A 23,665-nucleotide genomic window follows, 5' to 3' on the forward strand; every position below is an offset into this window, starting at 1 on the left:
ACAAGAGCCGATCACTCATGAAATAGAAATGAACAATGGCAGCCAGGCACCGTGGCTCACGCCTGTAATCCCAGCACTTTGGGAGGCGGAGGCGGGTGGATCACGAGGTCATGAGTTCTAGACCAGCCTGGCTAACATGGTGAAACCATGTCTCTACTAAAAATACAAAAATTAGCTGGGTGTAGTGGCGGGCGCCTATAATCCCAGCTACTCGGGAGGCTGAGGCAGGAGAATTGCTTGAACCGGTGAGGCGGAGGTCGCAATGAGCCGAGACAGTGCCACTGCACTTCAGCCTGGGCGACAGAGTGAGACTCCATCTAAAAAAAAACAAAAATAAAAAATAAAAGACATGAACAAAGGCCTGGTTCTTCTAGTACCCATTTCTGACACCACATGTCCCAGGAAACATGTGGCCCCAGACAGCCTTCATTTCCTGCTCTCCGGACAGAAGGCCACTCAGTCTTGTTTCCTTTATTTGCATAATGTCAAGAAAAATGAGTCACACCAGATTGTCATGTGTTAAGTAATATTGGCAAAGGTTTCCAACTGAGTTTAGAGTTGATTTCTTACCAAGGAACAATCACTCACTCTATTGCTGATTTATTACGATGTGAATGTGATCATTCTCTGAGTCTCAGTTTTCCATCCATGAATCCTTGTGATTTTTAATTTTTCATGTAGGACTGTCACGAGAAGTAAGATTTTTAAATTTCCAGAACAGAAATAGGTAAGGGAAACATCTAAGTGTGACTCCTCCAAAATCACTCTTGCTTCCAATTTTGTCTGCTGTTATGGAGGTCAGCAACTAAGGGAAAAAAAGGAGAAAACACATTAAAAAAAAAAAAGCCTGAATGTAAAAATAATTGGACTAACCTGCCAATTATTTTACAAAGAAGAGAAGCCCTAGTGTAGTGGTCCTGAAACTTTCAGAGTCACAGAGCTTTGTAGAATCTGATGAAAATCACATCCCCCACGCTCCTATGGAGATACAAATATATACTTGTCTTTGCAGGTCATTTCAGGTGTTCAAAGACCCCCTGAAGCCCCACCTAAGGGTCCTGTTAAGAACCTCTGCTCTGGAGAATATTAAAATGTTGAGCCTCTGTTTTCTAAACTGTGAAGAGGATATAGCACTCACTCCCAGCCAGCTTCGTGGAAGAGAAGGAAGAGGCTACATAGACCTGTGCTGTTAAAACATATTGGTTCTCTGCCTGGCAGACATGTAATATTGATGCAGTTCTATTACCATCATCTGCCACAGTCGTTCCCTATTCTGCTTCATGGGATGTAAATTTCTTTACAAGACAGAAGCAGCCCTGTCTGTGAAATTCCCAAAGCAAACCCTTCTGGTAAGCCAGCACTGTAAGTTTTCATACTTGACTGTTAGAAATGTAATGAGTCCCCACGGAGACCAAAGGGAAGGCTGGAGGTAGCTCTGCAGGCTCTCAAAGGGTAATAATTGCTGGGGCAGGAACACACCAAATGATACCCTTGTGGTTTTAAAAGTCAATGCAACTTTCCAAAGAGTCCTACTTTCTCCCAGAGTAGGTTGCAGTACTTGAGAAATAAACCCACTGAAACAAAACGTTGAGTTTGGGGGAAAAGCTCCTGATATATCAGTTAAAAACTAAAAGCTTTTAATGTATCAGTAATATATTAAATAGAATCATCCATTTGGTGCAAGGAACCTAACTGCAATTTCTGCAAATATCACCAGTAAAATAAAGGGATTGGATTAGACTTTGTTGTCCTTTCATCTTCCTGGGTTTGCAAATCCTTTCAGAATTAGATATAAGATATGGTTTCTGGCCCCAGAAAATACATATTTACTAGACATGTAACTCTCACCTAATTTTACTTGCAATTTAGGGACTTTACAAAATCCTGGCAGTCCATTGTGGACGACCAGGTTCATGAAAGCTAAACTACCCATTCTCTAAGGCCTCTTCTGCCTTAATAGGCTTCAGAGACTTCAATTCCTTCACCATTTTGCAGAGCCTCTGCAAGGAGAGGAAGGAGCAAAGTGCTCTTCCTACAGCTGCTGTGAAAATAACCATGCTTTAAACACTCAATTTAGGTTATGTTTAGAAAGCATAGTCCAAATAAGCAGCTCTTCAGGACAATGGCATAAAACTACAACTTGACGTTTTTTTTTTCCTAGAAGACAGGGAATGAGAAGGATGGAAGGCCTGGATAGCGTAAGATAAAGAATGGGGTATGGTTGGAACACACAGATGGCACAGTCCTTGAAGAAGTGAGTGTTAAGGGTCTCAAGAAAGCGTGGGCAAGCAGCAATCTTGCCTCTGTGGGAAGTGGTAAGGGAAGCTACGCAGCTTCTCAACACACAGAGGGGTCCTTCGGACGGTACCTATAGCAGGCCTCGCTGTTGGTCATAAATATTGACTGCCCCTCCCTGAAAGAGGATGATATTTCTCCTTCTTCTTGACATTAGACTTGGCCATGCTATTTGCCCTGGCCAGTGAAATGTGCAGAAATGACATCTCTCACTTCCAGGCAGAAGATCTAAGAGCCAGCTCAAGTTTTACCATGTGCTCTTCTCCCCATCCACGAGGCTGGCAGGATTCTAGGCCTACTGCACCCTCAGTGAAGGGAACGTGGGGCAGCGCTGCAGTCAGCCTCTCAGGCATCAGGTGAGTGCAAGAAAATATTTTTGATATTGTAAGCCTGTGAGATTTTGGAGTTGCTTGTCACTGCCGCAGAGCCAAGCCTAACTTCCTGATATACTACCATCCTCCTTTGGGAAGGAAGAGAGACGGATTGCAGCACCAGCCAGCGTCTGAAGGAACTACGTGCACCCTCCTCTTTCCATCCTCCCCACTCCTGACGCTGTTAACAGCACTCTCCTGTCATGGTTAGTGCTAAGTGTCAATTTGATTGGGTTGAAGGATGCAAAGTATTGTTCCTGGATGTGTCTGTGAGGGCGTTGCCAAAAGAGATTAACATTTGAGTCAGTGAACTGGGGGAGGCAGACCAACCCTCAAAGTGGCTGGGCACCATCTCATCAGCTGCCAGCACGGCTAGAATAAAGCAGGCAGAAGAAGGTAGGAGAAGCTGACTTGCTGAGTCTTCTGGCCTTCATCTTTCTCTTGTGCTGGGTGCTCCCTGCCCTTGAACATCAGACTCCAAGTTCTTCGGCTTTTGGACACTTGAACTTACACCAGTGGCTCTCTCTCTCTCTGGCCTTCAGCCACAGACTGAAGACTACACTGTCGGCTTCCCGACTTCTGAGGTTTTGGGATTCAGACTGGCTTTCTTGCTCCTCAGCTGGCAGAGGGCCTATCATGGGACTTCATCTTGTGACTATGTGAGTCAATTCGCCTTCATCTATACATCCATCCTACTAGTCCTGTCCCTTTAGAGAACCCTGACTAATACACCTCCTCGTCCACTACGACCCAAGGAACTGTAGAGCTCCGCTAAGAGCCAGTAGCCCATCAGTCATGCCCTCTGTAGCAGGTTGAATGATGCCCCCGAAAAGAGATGTCCACATCTTAACCCCCCAAATCACGAATGTGACTTAATTTGGAAAAAGAACCTTGCAGGTATCATTAAGATTCTCCATATGAAATCATCTTGTATTACCAGGATGTGCCCTAGATCCAAGGACAGGTGTCCTTCTAGAGATGAAGAGAAGACAGAGGAGATGGAAGTGATGCAGCTACAAACCGAAGAACCCCTAGGACCACCAGGAGCTTACAGACTCAAGGAGGCTTCTTCCCTAGAGCCTTTGAAGACAGCCTGCAGGCCGGGCGCCGTGGCTCACGCCTGTAATCCCAACACTGTGGGAGGCACAGGCAGGCGGATCACCTGAGGTTGGGAGTTTGAGACCAGCCTAACCAACATGGAGAAACCCCGTCTCTACTAAAAATACAAAAATTAGCCAGGCGTGGTGGTGGAAGCCTGTAATCCCAGCTGCTTGGGAGGCTGAGGCAGGAGAATCACTTGAACCCGGGAGGCTGAGGTTGCAGTGAGCCGAGATCGTGCCATTGCACTGCAGCCTGGGCAACAAGAGTGAAACTCTGTCTCAAAAAAAAAAAAAAAGAGAGAGAGAGAGAGCCTGCAGCCTTGCTAACACCTTGATTTTAGACTTCTGGTCTCCAGACCTGTGAGAGAATAAATTCTGCTGTTTTAAGCCACTCAATTTGTGGTAATTTGTTACAGCGACCATATAAAACTAATAATTTCACTTTTGCAAAATAACTTTTCTTCATTTCTTCCTCTCTTTGATATACTTCCTAAAGGCAAGAGCTACAAACCAGTATACTAATGGACTGGGGAAAAAGCCTACCTTTCTCTCTATCCAGTCCCCAGGGCAGGGCCGCAATTACGTTCAAAGGGAGGGAGAATGCCAGCTCACAAAACCTGACTGCTCCACTTCCTCTCCAGGGGAGACAGCAGCAGTGAGAGAGGCTGAATCCGTGATTATGGACTATGCAGAAAGTGAGTCTCAAAATAAACAGCTCCTGGAGTCAAAGCTCAGGGGACGACATATAGAATTTTAGAGTCTTCAGGACAGAGAGAGAGCAGGTAGTTCAACTTCTTCAGGGAGAGTTTTCAGAGGTACAAGAGAGCAAGGAATTTTGTATATTTGCATATGTTTTTGTTTTATTGAGGACTCTGAGGGCTGGAGAGCAGAGAAATCTGTCCAGGGTCACAAACTAGGGGCTGATACCAACTTCACCACCCAGTGCAGGAGGGCTCTTCTTCTACTTCTGGGGTCCCGCCTCTGTGGTGCTGCCCCCAGAATGGGGGCTTATTACATAACAGGTCTCACTCCCTTAGGTCCTTCATAAGCCCTCAGCTCTCCTGGTCTGGGGACCCCACTCCATGTCATTTTAAACATCTTAAAATGCATGATTATCTCATATCAAATGTAATTTTTTCTCTTTAAAAATCTCATGGTTCTTTTATAATTTTTGCTTCTGAAAGTAATTGCCTATAAACAACTTGCTTGATTTTAGATTTTCTACAGTTTTCAGTAATCATCATACAAACCCAGGAGAATCTAGCCATAGATTGTTTTCAAAAGCAATGAAATTTATATGAATGCTACATTTCATAATTAAAAAGACTGGCATTATGCTTTCTGTTGTACAGATTTAATTAACATTTTTATTAATTTCAGGTCTGCCTTTTAGTGTTTTGATTGGGAAGTATTTGGGGAAGCCTTCACATGAAGGATGGTCAACAGGTGTTAGCAGGTAAGGTAGACAGAACTGGGTGGCAGTGCCTGAAATGTCCAGCAAACATCTCGGCTTGTGGGGCTGAGTGTAGGTGAGGGAAATAGCAGGAGAATGGATTTTAAGCACTGAGCCAGGCACTACCATATCCATAATCTCCTCTGAGACTTGGAAACCAAGCTGGGGCCAGGTTACAAATGACTTCACATGCCATTCTCCCCGCTGCCTGCCACTTGTACCTTGGGCAGCCACTGGGGACATTCCTGGTTCTGGATTCCTGCCTCTGAGCAGCTCTCTTAACATGAGTAGGAGGCCTGTGCTTCCCCACACCCGTTTCCATCTGTTTGCATGGACCAGAGCCACTTGAGATAGGGCCTTCCTAGGAATAGAAGGTAAGACCAGCATCATTCCAGGGCCACTGTGGATGGGCTTTCCCCGCCCAGGAAATGACTGCTGCATTGATCTCTGTGCCACTCAGGCCAGGGCATCCTTGTGGGGAGGATTCCAGTCTGCATTGCATCAAATACCTATGAGAGGGAAAAGCCGTTTAAGCTAAGCATATGTTTATTTGATTGAAACAAATAACTCTCACAGGCCACAAACAATACAGGCAGACAGATGTTTCAAGCGGCACCTCATCAGCTGATTGGGCCATCATGCAATATCAGTGCACAGAATAATTCTGGAAAGATTCTAGGAAGGGAAGTTGGCTATCTTAAAATCTCTCCCTTTGGGATGAATTTCACAGCAACCACTTTAGATGGCAGTAGCGACTGATTATCCCCATTTTAAACCTTAGAACAGAAGGACCACTCCCCCAGTGATACCCAACTAGGAATGGAAGAAGCCAAGAAGACCACAACCCAGGTCTTTAGACTCTGAGATCTCTTTTCGTTGAGCTTGGCAGAACTACCACTCCAAAGACTCACAGCCTCTCAACGAATGGTGAGAGCATGTTACAAAGACATAGAAACTGGCTTGAAAGGGCGCCTGCTGGTCAAACCTGGGACAATTTATTTATCAAAATAAGTAATAATGATAATAGTTGTAACTTTTGAGTAAAATAGAAATCTGTAAATCCACACTGATACAAACAAATACACAGAAAGAAGAGAAAGCTGTCTTTATAGTAAAATGACAACTGGTAAAAGTAGACATAATGGAATTAGAATCACCATTTAGCAATCATCATAGTGATATTCAGCCAAGAAACATCAGTAGATGTTAGAACTAGTGGGTGAATGTTTACTAAGAAATGGGGAAATTTCATACTTTCAGAGTACCTCCAGCCAAATTCTTATTAACGACAAAGGGAAAAAGAGTAATTTTACAATGAATAGTCCTGACAAATACCACCTCAACTGAATAATCAAAGTGAACATTGGCTGGGCGCGGTGGCTCATGCCTGCAATTTCAGCACTTTGGGAGGCCAAGACTTGTGGGGCACTTGAGCCCAGGAGTTTGAGACCAGCCTGGGTGATATGGCAAAGCCCCATCTCTACAGAAATACAAAAAGTTACCTAGGTGTGGTGGCGTGTACCTGTAGCCCCAGCTACTTGGGAGGCTGAGGTAGGAGGATCACCTGAGCCTGGGAGGTCGAGGCTGTAGGGAGCCGAGATCATGGCACTGCACTCTAGCCTAGGTGACAGAGTGGACCCAGTCTCAAAAAAAAAAAAAAAAAAAGCAAAACCAAAAAAAACCTACAGTGAACATCACCAATAATGGGTCAAGTAGAAATCATGCACCACCTGATCAGATGTAAATATCTTGTCAAAAATACACCTCTCAATCTAATCAGGAGAAAACATTCGACAAAACCAAACTGAGAGACATTCTACGAAATAATCAGCACATCCAATCAAAAGTGTCAGTTATGAAAGTCAAGGAAAGATCGAGGAACTCTTCTGACTGAAGGAAGCTAAAGAGACATGACAATTACATGCAACAGGTGTTCCAGGATTGGGTCCTTTTGCTAGAACAAATATTATTTGAATAATTGTCAAAACTTAAATGGCATCTGAGGATTAGATGGCAGAAATGTTTTGATGTGAATTTCTTTATTTTGATGATTGCACTATAATTATGTAGGAGAATGTCCTTGTTTGTAGGAATTACACACTCAAGTGTTTAGGTTCAGGTTAAAAAGTTCTTTGTCTATTTCTGCAGCTCTCCTGTAAGCATGTAATTATTTCAAAATAAACAACTTAAAGAAAATTCCCAGACGCGAGTGAAAGCGGGGGATATTAAATATATTTTTGTCACTTCTTCCAGGAAATAGGCTGCCTTCCTCAAGGACAGGGTAGTAACCAAGGACAAGCTGTCAGTTGAGACAGCTTGGTGTGCTTCTAGAAAGCCCTGTTTGCAATGAATGTGTGCAAATCAGTCCTACATCCCCAGTAGCTTAAATTTATGAGACTTCATTGTCGTTTACAGTCAACCTTTAGTTAACAGCAGCTCTTTCATTTTACCTTTACATCTGACTCATTCAATGAAAAAAATTTTCTGAAAAACAAAACACTGAAGAGTTCTGAAATAGCTTCCATCCATAAGGACCTTTTAATAAATGTGTTTAAAAAAAACTACAAAATCTAAATCTGTAATGTCAATGCTGGTTTCCTTAAAAGGGAGAACAACCAGAAATGAATGTGCTATCACCCAGCATGTAAGATAAACAAAATCAGCACCAGCTTACCACCACACAGAGCAATATACCTTCCTGTTATATTCTTCTTGCTGTCTACTGCTTTTCTGCTAAATTATGAATTTCCAATGAAATGTTTTACAGTGTATGACTCTTCTGTCTACCAATAGCTGGCTTGCCCTCCCTCACTCCCTCTCTCCTTCCCTCCCTTCTTCATTGTCTTCATGCACCTGGGGAGATCAGAAAGTGTGTTTTTCTTACAAACCTTAGGAAAACTATAACACCTAGTGAGCCTATAATTAAACTTAATATAAACTGGGAAAGGCAGACAAGAAAGAAAATGAAAATTGTGAATTGGATGAGACAGGCAGTTAGCACATCCCCATTTCCTTTGTGAAAGACGAGTAAAGTCTGCAGACGTCAAGTTCTCTCTGTGTGCTGTGCCTAACTTGGATCTGTATTTCAACTCTCCTTTCTCAAAGAAATGCCATGTCCTAGGGATGCTTGGAGCGTTTCCGCAGCATTCCACAGGAAGCTGCAATGACCCTCCATCCTCTCCAAGTAGAACAGGCTGTCTCCAACTCACAATCTCACTATGTTCCAAAAGTTCTTTTTTCTTTTCTCTTTTTTTGTTTTTTGACACGGAGTCTCACTCTGTCGCCCAGGCTGGAGTGCAGTGGCACAATCTCAGCTCACTGCAACCTCCGCCTCCCGGGTTCAAGCGATTCTCCTGCATCAGCCTCCTGAGTAACTGGGACCACAGGTGTGTGCCACCACACCTAGCTAATTTTTTGTATTTTTAGTAGAGACAGGGTTTCACTGTGTTAGCCAGGATGGTCTCGATCTCCTGACCTCGTGATCTGCCCACCTCGGCCTCCCAAAGTGCTGGATTATATGTAAGCCACCGCGTCTGTCCCCAAAAGTTCTTTTTTAAAGTATCATTTAGAGATTGGAAATAATGTTACAAATTATGATTAGATTTCCCAATTAGCCACAGAAGCTCCCCATAATTAGTGTATAATGTAACCAATACATACACAAGCTAATGTAACCAAGCATGGATGCGCATGCATGCATGCGCGTGCACACACACATACACACACACAGCCTTCCACATACACAAAATGAAAACAATAATAGAAAAAAATGCATAGTATATCCCCTACATCATGCATCAACAAGCGTCTATGGGCTAGCCTGGGACTCTAACCAACATTTTCACATTGATTCACTAGGAAAAAGAAAATCGAATCCAATTTAGAACTCAGGCCTTTGGATACATTCTTTCCCTATCCCATAGTTCCTTCTCCCATCACATCTCACCCTGCAACCCCACACTACCTCATCCGTGACAAGTATGGAACACTCTTCTCAGCTCCTCAGGCCAGAGCTACCTCTTGAAAAGGAAACCTCATTCCACAGAGGGTTTCACTCTATCACACACACACACACACACACACACACACAACACAGACATATGCACACACAGAAACATAGAATGACTAAGGTGGCATTTTCCGGTGATGGCTGTGAGACAAGCATCCATAGTTCAGAGGCTACATTAACATTAGTGATGCATGTTCACAAGCGGCCCCTTCACTTGGAATTCTGATATGAACAAGAACATGGTGAGGGGGTCATGCTAAGCCAAGCTCTCATTCATTCCCACAGATAGAGACCCCAGGCCTATACTCAGTTTTATGATACTGTACTGTGATCATTGTCTTGCTGTAATTTTGTTTTCTCTATTTCTGGCATGATCTGTTTCATTGAACACAGAAAATATGACATGTGGGCAGAAAATGAGGCCTAAAAAGAAATTTAGGAAAGCAAATTTCATTTGTCATTTTACCACTAGATAGGCATTTCATTTAGGACAGGTTTCTAGTGAAACTTGGTGAAATTTTCTTGTTTCAAACATCTTTGGAATAGTCTAATTCTCATGATGATGAGGAAAAGAAACAAGAAGAGGGAGGAGAAGACCTAAATAGCCATTGGTACCAACTCATTGCTGTAACCACACACAGCTATAAATTTATTAGATGTGACACGATTTAAGTTTCAAAAAATGAAAAGAGCATTGCCAGGATGATCTCACTGAAAGTAAAAATGTCCTTGAAATTCTTATTCTGTGACAAAAAATGAGGGCAAATCTGTCTGGTATTCTCTCTCCTTGTTCTTCTTCAAGACAAAGTTTCTAAAATAATCTCAGACGTGGTGTAACATTTGCCAGACAGCTGTTCTAGGGAATGCCAGGAAGATAATCCTTGGGTCTATCATCGTCTTTTGTATTTTTTCTCCCTTCAGTACATTCTGGGTTCAGGCCAGCACATAGACAACATGTTCAGAAAGTTTAGAAAGTCTCTCTAGGGAGACTTGATGTCTCTGGAGGTCTTTTATGCCGATTTTACTGGCCTCGTTGAGAAGGCAGTTTCTTGACTTCTTGGCAAAGGGATTGACCTTAAGTCTGTTTCTAGAGGGCAAATGTCTGTCAAGATGAAGCCGTGGCTGAGGCTCACCACTCAGGGATTCACCTGATCTGAATTCTCTTTCTCCATCCCTGAGATAGCTCCCATGGATGGTGAGTGAAACTCTGAACCAGGAATTATAGATTTGGTCATCTTATAACTAGAAAAAGACCCTAGAGGACATTTAGCTTAGCACTCTCCCTTCCAACGTATTGGTGACCCCCACTGTCCAGCAGAAATGAGTTTTCTAGAAAACAAAATGCTTTCTCTCAATACACATGTTCAAAATCTCATGCATATTTTAATACTTATGACTTCATATTTCATTTGAATGAGTGCGATGATTAAATTTGGGACAGAGAGAAAAAGAATCCTGTGTGTTTACACAAACCTAGTATAAAATCCTGAGGTCAGCCCTTCCCTCAAATCTTCAAAACACAGTTCGCTGATGATGCTGCTTCTTAAACCTTCATCATCTGTCAGAGAAAAAAAAGACTGTTACTAGAAGAGGAGACAGAGGAGCATACAATATGGACATGGGACTGGAAAACAGACACTGATCTGAGGCAGAGGCAACGTGATAAAAAGTTCATAGCTCTCTTTCAGGTCCCGACAGATGGACCCAGGAAGCCAGATTTCTGGCCGTGGAGAAATTGTTCTCTTGTCACCAGGCTTTCTCCAGTTCTACCATGAAATAGGCTAGTGTATTAGTTTGTTAGCATTGCCATAACAAAAAGCCACAGACTGGATGACTTAAACAACAAAAATTAATTTTCTCTCAGTCCTGGAGGCTGGAAGTCCAAGATTCAGGTGTCAACAGGCTTGGTTTCCTCTGAGGTCTCCTGACTTGCGATGGCCAGCTGCCTTCTTCTGTGTCCTCACATGATCTTTCTCCCCTATGACATTCGTGGTATCTCTTTTTGTGCCCAATTTCCTCTTCTCATAAGGAAGGACATACCTGTAGTCCCAGCTACTGGGGAGGCTGAGGCAGGAGAATCGCTTGAACCTGGGAGGCAGAGGTGGCAGTGAGCCGAGATCGTGCCACTGCACTCCAGCCTGGCAACAGAGTGAGACTGTGTCTCAAATAAATAAATAAATAAGGAAGAACACCAGTCAGATTGGACGAGGGCCCACTTAAATGGCCTCATTTTTCACTTATTCACTGCTTTCAAGGCCTTATCTCTGAATACAATCACATTTGGGGCACTGCGGGTTAAGGCTTCCATACATGAATTTTGAGTGGACACAGTTCAGCCCATAACAGAAAGAATTCTTTTCAAAATAAGATGCTAAAATCCAAACAATTCATAGGATTTCAGAGTTTTTTTAAACCAAGTCAAATAAGAAGCATGATTAAGTCCATGATATCATCACAGGCCCTGCGCTCACAGCAAGTGAACAATGGTCCCGTTGAAGTAAGAAAGCCTAAGTCTGTCTCTTCTGACCAAACCTCGTCACCTGGGTTCTAAGGCTCTTCCAATGTGAGCTTGGAACCGAGACTGAAACTCACCAATAGAAATATGGGGCACTTGAGTGGTTTTTAATTTTCTAATAGCCACGTTAAAAACAAGTAGACTTAATTTTAAAATATATTTTAACTCAATATATTCAAAATATCATCATTTCAATATGTAATCAGCATTTAAGAACTGTGAATGAGCTATTCTACGTTCCCATTGCCACACCATGTCTTCAGGCGCTGGTGACTATTTCATGCTTACGGCACATCTCAATACATCCCAATATCTCATGCTAACGGCCACATTCCTGGTGCTCAGCAGCCACGCGTGGCTGTGCAGATGTAGGGAGTGGCCAGGTCTACAGTGGCCCAGGAAATTGACCTGTGTTCTGCTCCAGTCTGAAGTCTGAGGATTTACTGAATGAGTAGGATGGGTCTGCAAGGAAAAAGATATCATGAGGTCCTCAAGAGCAGTCAGTGACTTTGGGGATCTTTATGGACCTCGTAGAGTGGCCTAGAGACTTGTGAATCGGGCCCTGTCACACTGGTGCCTTTCAAAACTTAAGACCTTATTGGCTAACCAAGGACGGGGCTCAGGAGCAGAGCAACCCAAGAAGGACACTGACCATCCTCATGCCTCTCAGCTCTGACTTGGCAAATAGCCCAAGAAAGAATTCTTACCTCAGCCCTCCATTCTTCCACTGACTGGTCCAATTATTTAAGCCCACGTCCAACAGGAATCAAATAGGTCTACTGAGAAATGTTATATTAGGTTATCTCCCCTCACAGGTCTTTCCTTTCATGCCAGCTTTCGAGGAGTCCATCACGAGGGAGTGGGAAGAAGGATGCTTCCCTGCAGACCAGCAGGTGTCTTATGATGGTGTCATATAAGAAAATATTCATTGATACAGAAGTGAATATTTTCTTATATGATTGGGGGAGCATTCATAGTTGGTGAAAAACTTTGGAAGTCAATGGCCTTGGAGGATTATTGACTTGGGAAAATTGTATGGGAAGTTGGAGGGGTCCCTACTCCCCAAAGGGTTTTAAGGCAAGTCTAGTAGCAAAGCAAGTGGCCTAAAAGACAGACCAAGGCAGCTTTCTCACTGCAACAACACAGGCTCTCTTCTGTTGCCGGTCGTAATAGAAGTCACCTAAACGTGTCATTAACTAGGAAGAATTGTAAGATTATCTACAGAGCTAAGGCTTTGTCCTAACAGCACATTCCTAGTACTGACATTTCCCACTTACATGTGATTTCCATGATGTATAATAAAACGTTTGATCCCCAGAACATCCTTATGAGGTAGACTAGAAAACCGAGGCTCACTGAGGCAGCAAAGTGAGTGTGTTGTAGAGGATTGCAAAACGAGTCTTACCTCAGGTCTATATAAATAGTATACAGGGTCATTGACATGTTAACATATCTCCATGTGTAGTAAATAAACACTTAATAAAAATTGGTTGAATGAATACCAAATAAGAAACTGATTTCCTTGAAATTTCTCAGAAGACAACATTTCCAGGTTTAAGTGTGCTCAGAAAAATGGATCAAAGTGTCTTTGCCTGATTAATATTGTTTAGGAACAGCAGAAGATATTTTCTTTAGATTTTTAAAAATAAAATCATTATACAGAGGTGGCTTGAGAACACCCATCTCCATTTCTCCAGGCTTCTTGCAACACTGCATAGATACCCCAGCCATGGTGTTTAACATTAGGCAAAGCAGCCTCCATGGGGAAAATGTATCGTCCACATTTGACTTTGACCATCCACAGAGGCAGGGCCAGCCCAGCAGAAACGGTGCTGGGCGTGTCAGCCTCTACCAAGGCCTGTGCTTTCCTCACTTAACCTGGAGGTAGGAATTTCCAGTGAAGAAGATGCTAGAAACAGGGCCAAAGGGATTGAGTAGAGGTAACTGAGTAGGAGGAACAAACTGCCGAAGAGAGAAAATTGTCTCCCTATTGACTATTTTTATCCTTCAGGTTCTGATCCACCATTCCTGTCTCGGGGGAGGAGGGAATCAAGGGATCTCTGACACTGGGTGTTCAAGCTGAAAGAAATCTAGAGATACTAACAACAAGAATAACCAACACGTGCAAGTCCCAGGCATAGCCTAAACACTTCACCTATATTAACTCATTCAGTCTCTGGCAGGTACCCCTGTGGCCCATCCTCCTCTTCCGTAACCCCATCTTGTATGAGCCCAAGTTCCACTGTTCACATCATCTTTGGAAGACCCAGGTGGATGCTCATCCACCCCCATCCTGGAGTTGTGCAACCCTGTGGCCTTTTGCCCATTTTACAGTGGGAGAAACATCACATATCCAACAGCCTCACTTTACTGATGGAGAAAGTGATAGGAACTTACCACACAGCAAATTACTGACAGAGCTGATTCTAGGACCTTGACCCACCCCCCCCAGTTTTGAGTCTGATGCTTGTGCAGTCTGCCATGTGCTGCATTTTGGAAGCTATGAGTGATGGATTCCTGCATCCCTACCTTGAAAAAGCTCACAACAGACAGGGGAAGATACTGGTAACTCAGGTACAGAAGCACCAGGACGCCTTCCGCTGTCAGGTTCTGGCTCATGGTTCCATCACCCTCCTGGTTACACTTGGTGTCCCCTTCCTCAAGTCCCTCCTCCAGTAGGTCACTACCCCTTTCATCTTAGCAAGCGTCTGTGCTTCAATTCCCTCCTCCAGAGGGTGGAGATAATAACAGAACTTATTCCTGGGTACATATGGGAATTAAATAAGTTAATATTTCTAAAGCAAATAAAATAGTGCTTGGCACAGAGTAAGCATAATATTCAGTGTTTTGTTAAAATGCTGGGTTATTAAACGGCCTCCTAGCTTTTTTTGCCTCCTCCAATATCAAACATTCTTGCTAAGACACAACCCTGCTACCACCTGCCACGCTCACGTTGCCTGTAGTAGTAGTTCTCAAATGTTAGTTGCCACAGGAATTTCCTGGGGTGCTTGCAAAAAGTGCAAATGTATGAGCCACTCCCTGAATTCCGGTTTAGGAGGTCTGGGGTGGGGCCCAGAAATCGACATTTTCAACACGTATCCACAAGGGATTCGGATGTAGGTGGTCTGACACCACAGTTTGAGAAAAAGAGGCCTCCTAGGTAAAGCCCACCTTTAGCATGGCCTTCACTGATGCTGACCATCTGGCCCTTGTCCACCATCCCAGCCTCACTGCTCAAAACCCCATGCCCTAATCCCACAGGCCAGACCTGCATCAAGAAAAATAAAAAGCCACATTGCATTTCTCCATATGACTGCTGTGTTACATGAGAGTGGAAAAAAGAGCTGAGTTGACACCCAGCGAAATCTCCATGGTCATGCCTCGGGGTTGCCATGGGAACCACATCTCCGTGACTTAGCCTAGAGTAAGAGGAAAAGCTGAGAGGGACACACACACCTTGTTTCTGAACTTCTGTTCTTTTTCTGAATCACAGAGACCAGACCCCTTCCCTTCTTCTCTTAAAGTAACTCAAGGGATGGTCAGCTCTAAATTTGAGCAAAGGAAGGTGAGAAGGAGCAGAAGAAAAACAAAAGATAGGCCTGAAGCCAAGGGGACAGCACACCAACTAAGACAAATGCGGGCACTTAAGGTCTAGTTACAATCCTGCTCCAACCCATTAACTCGTCCAAAGAGAAACATTGTTTCTTCTCTCATGAGAAAGCAACTTAAACTGACTCCATGTTGGACTCCCTAAAAACTAAGTCTTGGTGACTTGGGGACTAGTCTAAGAATTGTTTGTTTGTTTGTTTGTTTTTGAGACAGAGTCTTCCCTTGTCACCCAGGCTGGAATGCAATGGCATGATCTTGGCTCACTGCAACCTCCGTCTCCTGGGTTCAAACAATTCTCCTGCCTCAGCCTCCCAAGTAGCTGGATTCCAGGCGTGTGCCACCCCACCCAGCTAATTTTTGTATTTTTAGTAGAGACGGGGTTTCACCATGTTGATCAGGCCGGTCTTGAACTCCTGACCTCAAATGCTCCACCCGCCTCAGCCTCCCAAAGGGCTGGGATTACAGGCATGAGCCATCGCACCCGGCCTCTAAGAATCTTATAATATCCTTTTTTTTCCGATTTTAAAATCCAAGCACATTTAAAATTTTTTGAGTCAGACCAAAAGAAGTCCCTGTTAATTTTCAGTGAAGAAACATTCCTTCTTGATGGATTTCAGATCAAACCTATTTTTTTTATACATCTAAACCTGACTTCCTCAACCACTAGAAGAGCAAGCTCCATTCTCTGCCTGTATGCAGTTGAATAGCATCGTTCAACAAGCATGTTGATCCAAAATCTTACAATGTGAACTTATTTGGAAATAGGGTATTTTCAAATGTAATTAAAATATACTTTAAGATGAAGTCATACTGGATTGAAGTGGGCCCGGAATCTAATGTCCTTAAGAAAGAAGAAAAACACACAGAGAAGGAAGTGCTGTGTGAAGTCACAGACACACAAGGAAGAAGCCGTGTTGACAAGGGAGACAGAAACTGGAAAGGTGCAGGGGCAAGCCAAGGATTGCTGGCTTCCAGGGGCAGCTAGGAAGAGGGAGGGAAGGATTCTTCCCTTGAGCCTTCTGAGGGAGTATGGGCTGTGGACACGTGGGTTTCTGGCCTCCAGAACCGTAAGAGTGCACGTCTGCTGTGTATTTTTGTTGTTGTTGTTTGTTTGTTTGTTTGTTTGTTTTTTGAGATGGAGTTTCGCTGTGTCACCAGGCTGGAGTGCAGTGGCATGACCTCAGCACAATGCAACCTCTGACTCCTTGGTTCAAGCAATTCTCCTGCCTCAACCTCCCAAGTAGCTGCGACTACAGGCGTGCACCACCACACCCAGCTAATTTTTGTATTTTTAGTAGAGATGGGGTTTCACCGTGTTGGCCAAATGGTCTCGATCTCTTGACCTCTTGATCCGCCCGCCTCAGCCTCCCAAAGTGCTGGGATTACAGACATGAGCCACCGCCCCCAGCTGCAGGTCTGCTATTTTAAGCCACCTCGTTTGTGGTCATTTGTCACAGCAGGCCCAGGAACAAAGCAGCCCAGTGGCCCCTTCCCTGATGACAAAACGTGCATATCCTGCAGGCTCTCAGGTTGATTACTGGACAATCATCAGGTCAGTTAAGCATGAAAATATCACTAGGATAGCTCAGATAATAGAATACTGTGAAAAGCAGCTTTACTTTTGAATCACAGAATTTCTTTAAGCAAAACCATCTTGGGCTGGAGTTAGAGTACCCTGCTGGAACTAAGTCCTTCTTTTGGTAACAGCATTCCAATTTCTTTTAGGGGACTTCTCTCTCCTTATTGTGTGCAGTTTCAGTGGGGTTGTCCCAGTTCCTTGATATCCCCTACCCAAGGAGCTGCCATATGGCCTAAGCTTTGCTGCCTCCACTTCTTCTAGGATTTTGTCTTGGACCAAGTGAGACCAGAAGGAAGAGCTGCAGGGGACTGTCCACCAGGACCTGCTGCCTGGATGCTGGGTGTTAACCAAGGTTAACACGGTTAACACCATGTAGGAGAACAATGGTTCTCCTACCCACCCTAAACCCCCTCATCCTCAAAGGCAGAGGGAGGATAGAAGAGAATTCCTGAGACTGATGAAATGTCACAATTACCCCCCACCCACATCCTACACACACACACACACACACACACACGGTGACATCTGTTGCAAAAATGCTGTGAAAAATACATTGTGTTTTTTTCCATGTGCTTTGTATTTAGGTCTTTAATATAAATTTATTTCAGAAATCAATACAGTGCTAGACAAGTTTTCTCATCTCTTTCTTTCTACCAGACAAAATGCATGACGTAACTTGGTGGGTTTGCCTTCCCTCCATATGAGTCTTTTGCTGTAGGTTTAGGGTTAAAGCTCCTACTCAATCATAGTGGCTATATTCGTTACCACTTGAAGTACATTTTCCCCTCTCTTTTTCCGTTGTTTTTGATCTTTGGTTTTCACTTAAAACATTTGTTATAAGATCCCTAACATCTCTTGTGGAAATAGATTAGATGTAAATTATAAATAAATAGGCATTCATAGAGAGATCAAGTGATCTCCATCAGCCTTATCAACTGAGATCCATAAGTGATAGAAATTTAGCTTCCAGAAGCATTTCATTTATTCCATGGACAAAGTTGAATTGGGATTGGGAAGAACACAGATCGCCAAATGGAATACACCCCGACCCGTCTTCCTGAATGTTGCTGGCATTTTCATGTTATCCCCAAACTCTGACACCATTACCTTCAAAGACCTGCCTTAGACCCCTGAAATAGGTCCTGCAAGTGTCCAGCAGCATTCACAAAATTAACCAGAAAAATTCCTAAGCTGACAGTCAGAGATCCAGGGGGCAAAAGGCCATACCACACCCTCGCCTCTCACCAGAAACACGTGAAAAGCACAGGTCACATTGGTGTTTTTTTGTTTTGTCCTCATATTGTTGAACTGAATCGATGTGCTCACCTGAAATAGCTGGCCCATCAGGAAGGTACTTTGTTGGGTGATTCCATTTGGCCAGAGAAAAGTGATCTTTGTTTTCCAACCCTTTCTCCTGTTCCAAGGACCTGAAAATAACACCAACACCAACTTCTCTCAAATCTGAGGAGCTATTGTACAAACTTGAATAAGTAAGTTACTCTTTCTTTGCCTTAGGGACTAGGAAAAACAAAACAAAACAAATCATAGGCAGGACTGTTAGCATAAACCAGACCAGGGACCTGAAAAGATTAATATTTTCCATGGTCAGATGAAAGATGGTACATAAATGCAAAATGGCTCACTGTACATTATTACATTTCAATTACACGTGAATTAGTTATAGAGTGACATTTTGACTGTTTCCTCTGGGTAATTCTCATAACTCCACCTGTCTGACATTTCCTTCCTCTCTCAGGTCCATATAGAACAGGTCCCACTTTGTAGGAGAGAGGCCACCCTGCAGAATTTCAAAACACACACCAGGGGAGGCCATTGCTGAGGCACATGCGGGAAGTTTCAAACACTCACAGATATCAAGAGGTTAATCGCCCCCAGGGCTTGATCATTGAAGAACTACCCATTGAAGAACAGAGAAAGTTCTTCATAAAAAAAAGAAAAAGAATTCCAAATCCTTTCACCTCCTTATAGCCCTCAGGGACAAAACCTCATTGAATAACCAAGTAGACACGTCCCTCCTGATTTGAGTGGCCACTCGGAGAAAAAGCACAACAATTAAAAGCTTAGCACCCATTGTCCAGAAGAAATGCAGAGAACAGAAAGTGTACGGGTAAGGGAGGGAAGGATGCCAAGAACAGAGATTTATAAAAAAGAAAAGGGAGAGAAAGAAAAGAAAAGGCAATGACCTCAAACAAACATAACCTTTACTGCACAGAAGCTAGTGACAGGCAGGATGTGGAGGAGGTACCCAGGCCCCATCCCCACCCTTCACTTGGGTCATCGCCAGAAGTGCAGATGGCATGTGTTTGACACTGGGCAGGCTCTAGCACCTACCTCACTGTAAGAGAACTAGCTGAAGCACAGTTTTCACCGAATGCAGATGCTTCTGTCTTGGATAGATCCAAGGGCCATTATTACCTCCCCAAAGTCCCTGAGGATCTTATTATGTGGTGAAAGGAGGAGGGACCTCGCCGCCTAACCTGGAGCTATGGTATTGTAGTGTCTTATAAAAGAGTGGTGTTAGTGCCCATCCCTGAAGCTCAGTCATCTGCAGCTCTGCCCATGGGAGCCAGTGGTTTTTGTTTTCCCCTAACGTACCCCAAGTGGCAGAGAAAAATGAAACCAGGCCCCCAGATATGTGCCAGAAAGGGTCCTGCGTATTCTATACACTCACCCCAGCCTCCCTCTCACCTACCTCCAAACTCAAATATTACCTAAAGCCTAACGTTGAGCTTAAAAATGCATGCAGAGGCCGGGCGCAGCGGCTCACGCCTGTAATCCAGGCAATTTGGGAGGCCAAGGTGGGTGGATCACCTGAGGTCAGGAGTTCGAGACCAGCCTGACCAACATGGTGAAACCCTGTCTCTACTAAAAATACAAAAAATTAGCCAGGTGTGGTGGTGCATGCCTGTACTCCCAGCCACTCAAGAGGCTGAGACATAAGAATAGCTTGAACCTGGGAGGCAGAGGTTGCAGTGAGCCGAGACTGCGAGATTGCATTGCACTGCACTCCAGCCTGGGCGACAAAGTGAGACAGTCTCAAAAAAAAAAAAAAAAAAAAGCATGCAGAATTTACATCCTACAACTTCATAATGTATCTTTGTATCTTTGTTTTACTATCCAAATATTTCAAATTACCTACCACTAAGTAAACATATCCCATGAAGATATACCAAGCTTAGCCTGTGGTTTAATGTACTTCCCTGGGCCACCACTTCAAAAGGGGACCATGTACCCCAGTTTGAAGAGCCTGGTCTTAAACAATCACTTCTCTTGAAGAAGCAAAGACCTGGCAATCAGTCTGTAGACACATCTGAGCAGCTGCCCTATTTGTGTGTGTGTATGTGTGTATGTGTGTGTATGCATGTGTATGTGTGTGTGCATGTGTGTGTGTGCATGTGTGTATGTGTGTGCTGTGTGTATGTGTGCGTGTGTGTATGCATGTGTGTATGTGTGTGCATGTGTGTGCGTGTATGCATGCGTGTGCATGCGTGTGCATGTGTGTGTGCATGTGTGTATATGCATGTGTGTATGCATGTGTGTATGTGTATGCATGTGTGTGTATGTGTGTGCATGTGTGTATGTGTGTGTGCATGTGTGTATGTGTGTGTGTGTGCGTGTGCATGTGTGTGTGCATGTGTGTGTGTTGTTATTGTTAACAATAAAGGTTTTTGACAGATGAGCAACATTCTTATCACTCAGTGCAAAAGCTGAAGCTTCTTCAGTGCTCATGTTTAATCCCCCCAATTTTAAAGTGGCCTCCAAAACTTTGCATCATCTGGCTCCTCCCCAACTCTGCAGCCTCATCTCACATTGCTGTTGTCCCGTTGATAGCTGTGTTCTAGCTCAGCTTCGACCCCCATCCTAAAAGTAGTGTCTGCCTTGCTGCAAATTCTTCTACTTCAGTAAGAAGTAAATGGTTCCACTCTTGGTCCATGTGAATCTGAGACCCTTCTCTAATAACCTGCCTAGGATCTCTGTCTAGGACTTGCTCTCTCAGGGGGACTTCCTTGCCACCAGTCCTTCCTCCTGCCACCCTCACTCTACAAGATACTATGGTTGCCCTCTCCAAGACCCATCCCCTCTTTCCCCTCCTTCAGAGCAGCTATGCCAGTCTCATACAATTGATCCCATCCTAGCTCCAGGATTTAAATTAATCATTTAGATTAATGCGTAATCCATTTCCTCTTTCTACAGTTCAAAGATAGGCACTTGACTTCAGATCATGCAGTCAGACAAAAGCCCAGGACTTTTGTTTGATGGTTAGAGGAGGAACAATCAGCTCTCTTTCTTTCTCAGCACATGGAACAGCAAAGCAAGTATCCTAGAGACTCTTAGCAGACAACGTGTAACCAAAGTAGGAGCCTGTCTTAGGGTAAAGCTGACACACAGAAGGCGGAGCAGAGAGAGCAAAGGAAACTGGGTCATTGGTTACATCCCCAAGCTACTGAATTGAAACAATGTTAAGACTTACTCTCTAAAATATTTATTTCCAAGAGTCAGCACCCATCATCCTTATTTAAGGCAGTTTTATTTGGGATACAATAATAGATACATTTCCTGCCCATATAGAGTTTACAGTTCAGTCAGGGAGAGAGAAAAGTACATAATACCATGAACTGGAGGAAATATTGGATACTAAATGGCATAGAGCTGGACCACTTAATCCAAACTCGGAATCTAAATGTGGAAGAACTGACCAAGATGTGATGGGTGGAAAGCAGGGAATATGATGGGAGGAAGAAAAATAAGAGAAAGGGTATGGAGTTCCACACAGAGAGAACAATATGTGCAAAGCCTGGAAGTAAGAGAGAACATGGTGCATTCATGTGACTAAAAATCATCTCATGATTTGGTCCTGTCTTAAAAAGCAGCCTCCAAGAGCTTGGTTATCCTGGATCCTGCCAGTCTCCATCACTTTTAAATTAATTGCAGCCTGATGGCCAGACCCTGGTGCCATCTTCAGCCAAAGGTGTTCTTGAATGAGCAGTACTAGTAGAGGCAGCAGGTACTGACCTACTGGAAGCCACACACAGGTATCTACACCCCACCCCGTACTCTTAGTACTAGCCTAAGACTTCCGGCAATCCACCTGCTCCCAATCCTCCTTACCAGCCAGGATTTGCATATGAAGTTATCAGGTCAGAGAATTCCGGTGGTACCCAGTGATAGTCTATCTTCATCATTCGTGGATTCCATATTTGCAAATGCACCTATTTGTAACCCCAAAGTCCGTACTCATGCTGACGCAGGACAGGCAAGCCCCAAAATTGAGGCTTAGCCCAGGAGGGTTCTTGGCTTCATCCAGGAAGAATTCAAGGGTGAACCCACAGTGTTAAACAGCGACTCTGAAGCAGCAGAGTGTACAGCAGCAGCAGAGGTACTGTTTTTTGCGGAACAAGAATACTCTATATGCTGTGTGCCCTGAGTATCAGCTCAGAGGCAGTTCTGCACTCATATTTATACCCACCTTTAACTATATGCAAATTAAGGGGCGGTTTATGTAGACAATTCTAGAATGAGAGTGGCCAATCCTGGGTTGCCATGCTAAGGGGCAGTAACTTTTGGGTGTCGCCATGGAAATGGTAAACTGACAGGGCACACTGGCCGGTGTACCTCATGAGGAGATGCTTCTGCCCCCAACCTGTTTTAGCTAGTCCTCAATTTGCTCCAGTGTCCAAGCCCCACCTCCAGAGTCAAGTTCCGTCTCCTACCTCAATGGCTCTTTCAAGGTAATTCCTGGACATGCACAAACAGGTGAAATATTTGAGGCCCACGATGCATGCATTCCCAACTGAGGTCAAGCAAGGTGATGCCCTGCCTTCTTGTTTTGTCTATCATACTGTAAACAAATGTCCTTTTTGCAGTCCATTTAATGCCATGTTTTTTGCATTTTTATGCTTTTCTTGGTGATTTAATGGTTTAAAATGGTCCCCAAGCAGATTGCTGATGTGTTATCTAGTGTTTTAAGTGCAAGAAGGCTGTGATGTGCCTTAGGGAGCAAACCATTTGTGTGTTAGATAAGTTTCATTCAGGTAGAGTTATAATGCTGTTGGCTATGAGTTCATTGTTAATGAACCAACAGTGTATTTAAATATGGTGTCTTTAAGCAGAAACACCCACAAAACAAGTTTGTATATTGATCATTCACAAAAATATTGTGACTAGTGGCTCACAGAAACTGAAGCCTATATTTCCCCTAGAAGCAATGGCTCAGTTTTGCTAATTCAATGCTCATAGCCACTTTATAAATAGAATGTAATTACTGCAAATAATTAGAATAGAGCTGGGTGCAGTGGCTCACGCCTGTAATCCCAGCACTTTGGAAGGCTGAGGTGGGTGGATCACTTGAGGTCAGGAATTTGAGACTAGCATGGCCAACATGGTGAAACCCCATCTCTACTAAAAATACAAAAATTAGTCAGGCTTGGGGGCAGGTGCCTGTAATCCCAGCTACTTGGGAGGCTGAGGCAGGAGAATCACTTGAACCTGGGAGGCGGATGTTGCAGTGGGCCAAGATCACTCCACTGCACTCCAACCTGGGCAACAGTGTGAGACTCCATCTCAAAAAAAAAAAAAAAAAAAAAAAAGAAGAGACTCTATAGACTTATACAGGACAGGACTAGGGGTGGTCTCTCTAGCTCAAACAAAGGTGTGATCCTATATGAGTTAGTATAAGTGCACTGCTGTAGCAAACAGACCCCAAAATTCATGAC

The 23,665-nt window shown here is 43.8% G+C and overlaps 1 long non-coding RNA gene across 2 annotated transcripts in view; it reads right to left on the reverse strand.

The window, feature by feature from the left end:
- Positions 1 to 606: 606 nt before the first annotated feature.
- LINC02028 (long intergenic non-protein coding RNA 2028) overlaps positions 607 to 23,665 on the reverse strand; it is a 65,515-nt gene continuing 42,456 nt past the window's right edge. Inside the window, exons 2-3 of one of the 2 annotated variants that reach the window (NR_136179.1) lie at positions 10,702 to 10,786; positions 607 to 805 (exon numbers count right to left, since the gene is read on the reverse strand). This is a non-coding gene — a long non-coding RNA (long intergenic non-protein coding RNA 2028). Of the gene's footprint in view, positions 806 to 5,113; positions 5,729 to 10,701; positions 10,787 to 23,665 lie in introns of those variants that run through there. The other variant, NR_136180.1, reaches the window with a different exon arrangement.

Source organism: Homo sapiens, chromosome 3 (genome assembly GCF_000001405.40).
Source record: "Homo sapiens chromosome 3, GRCh38.p14 Primary Assembly".
Taxonomy (NCBI): domain Eukaryota; kingdom Metazoa; phylum Chordata; class Mammalia; order Primates; family Hominidae; genus Homo; species Homo sapiens.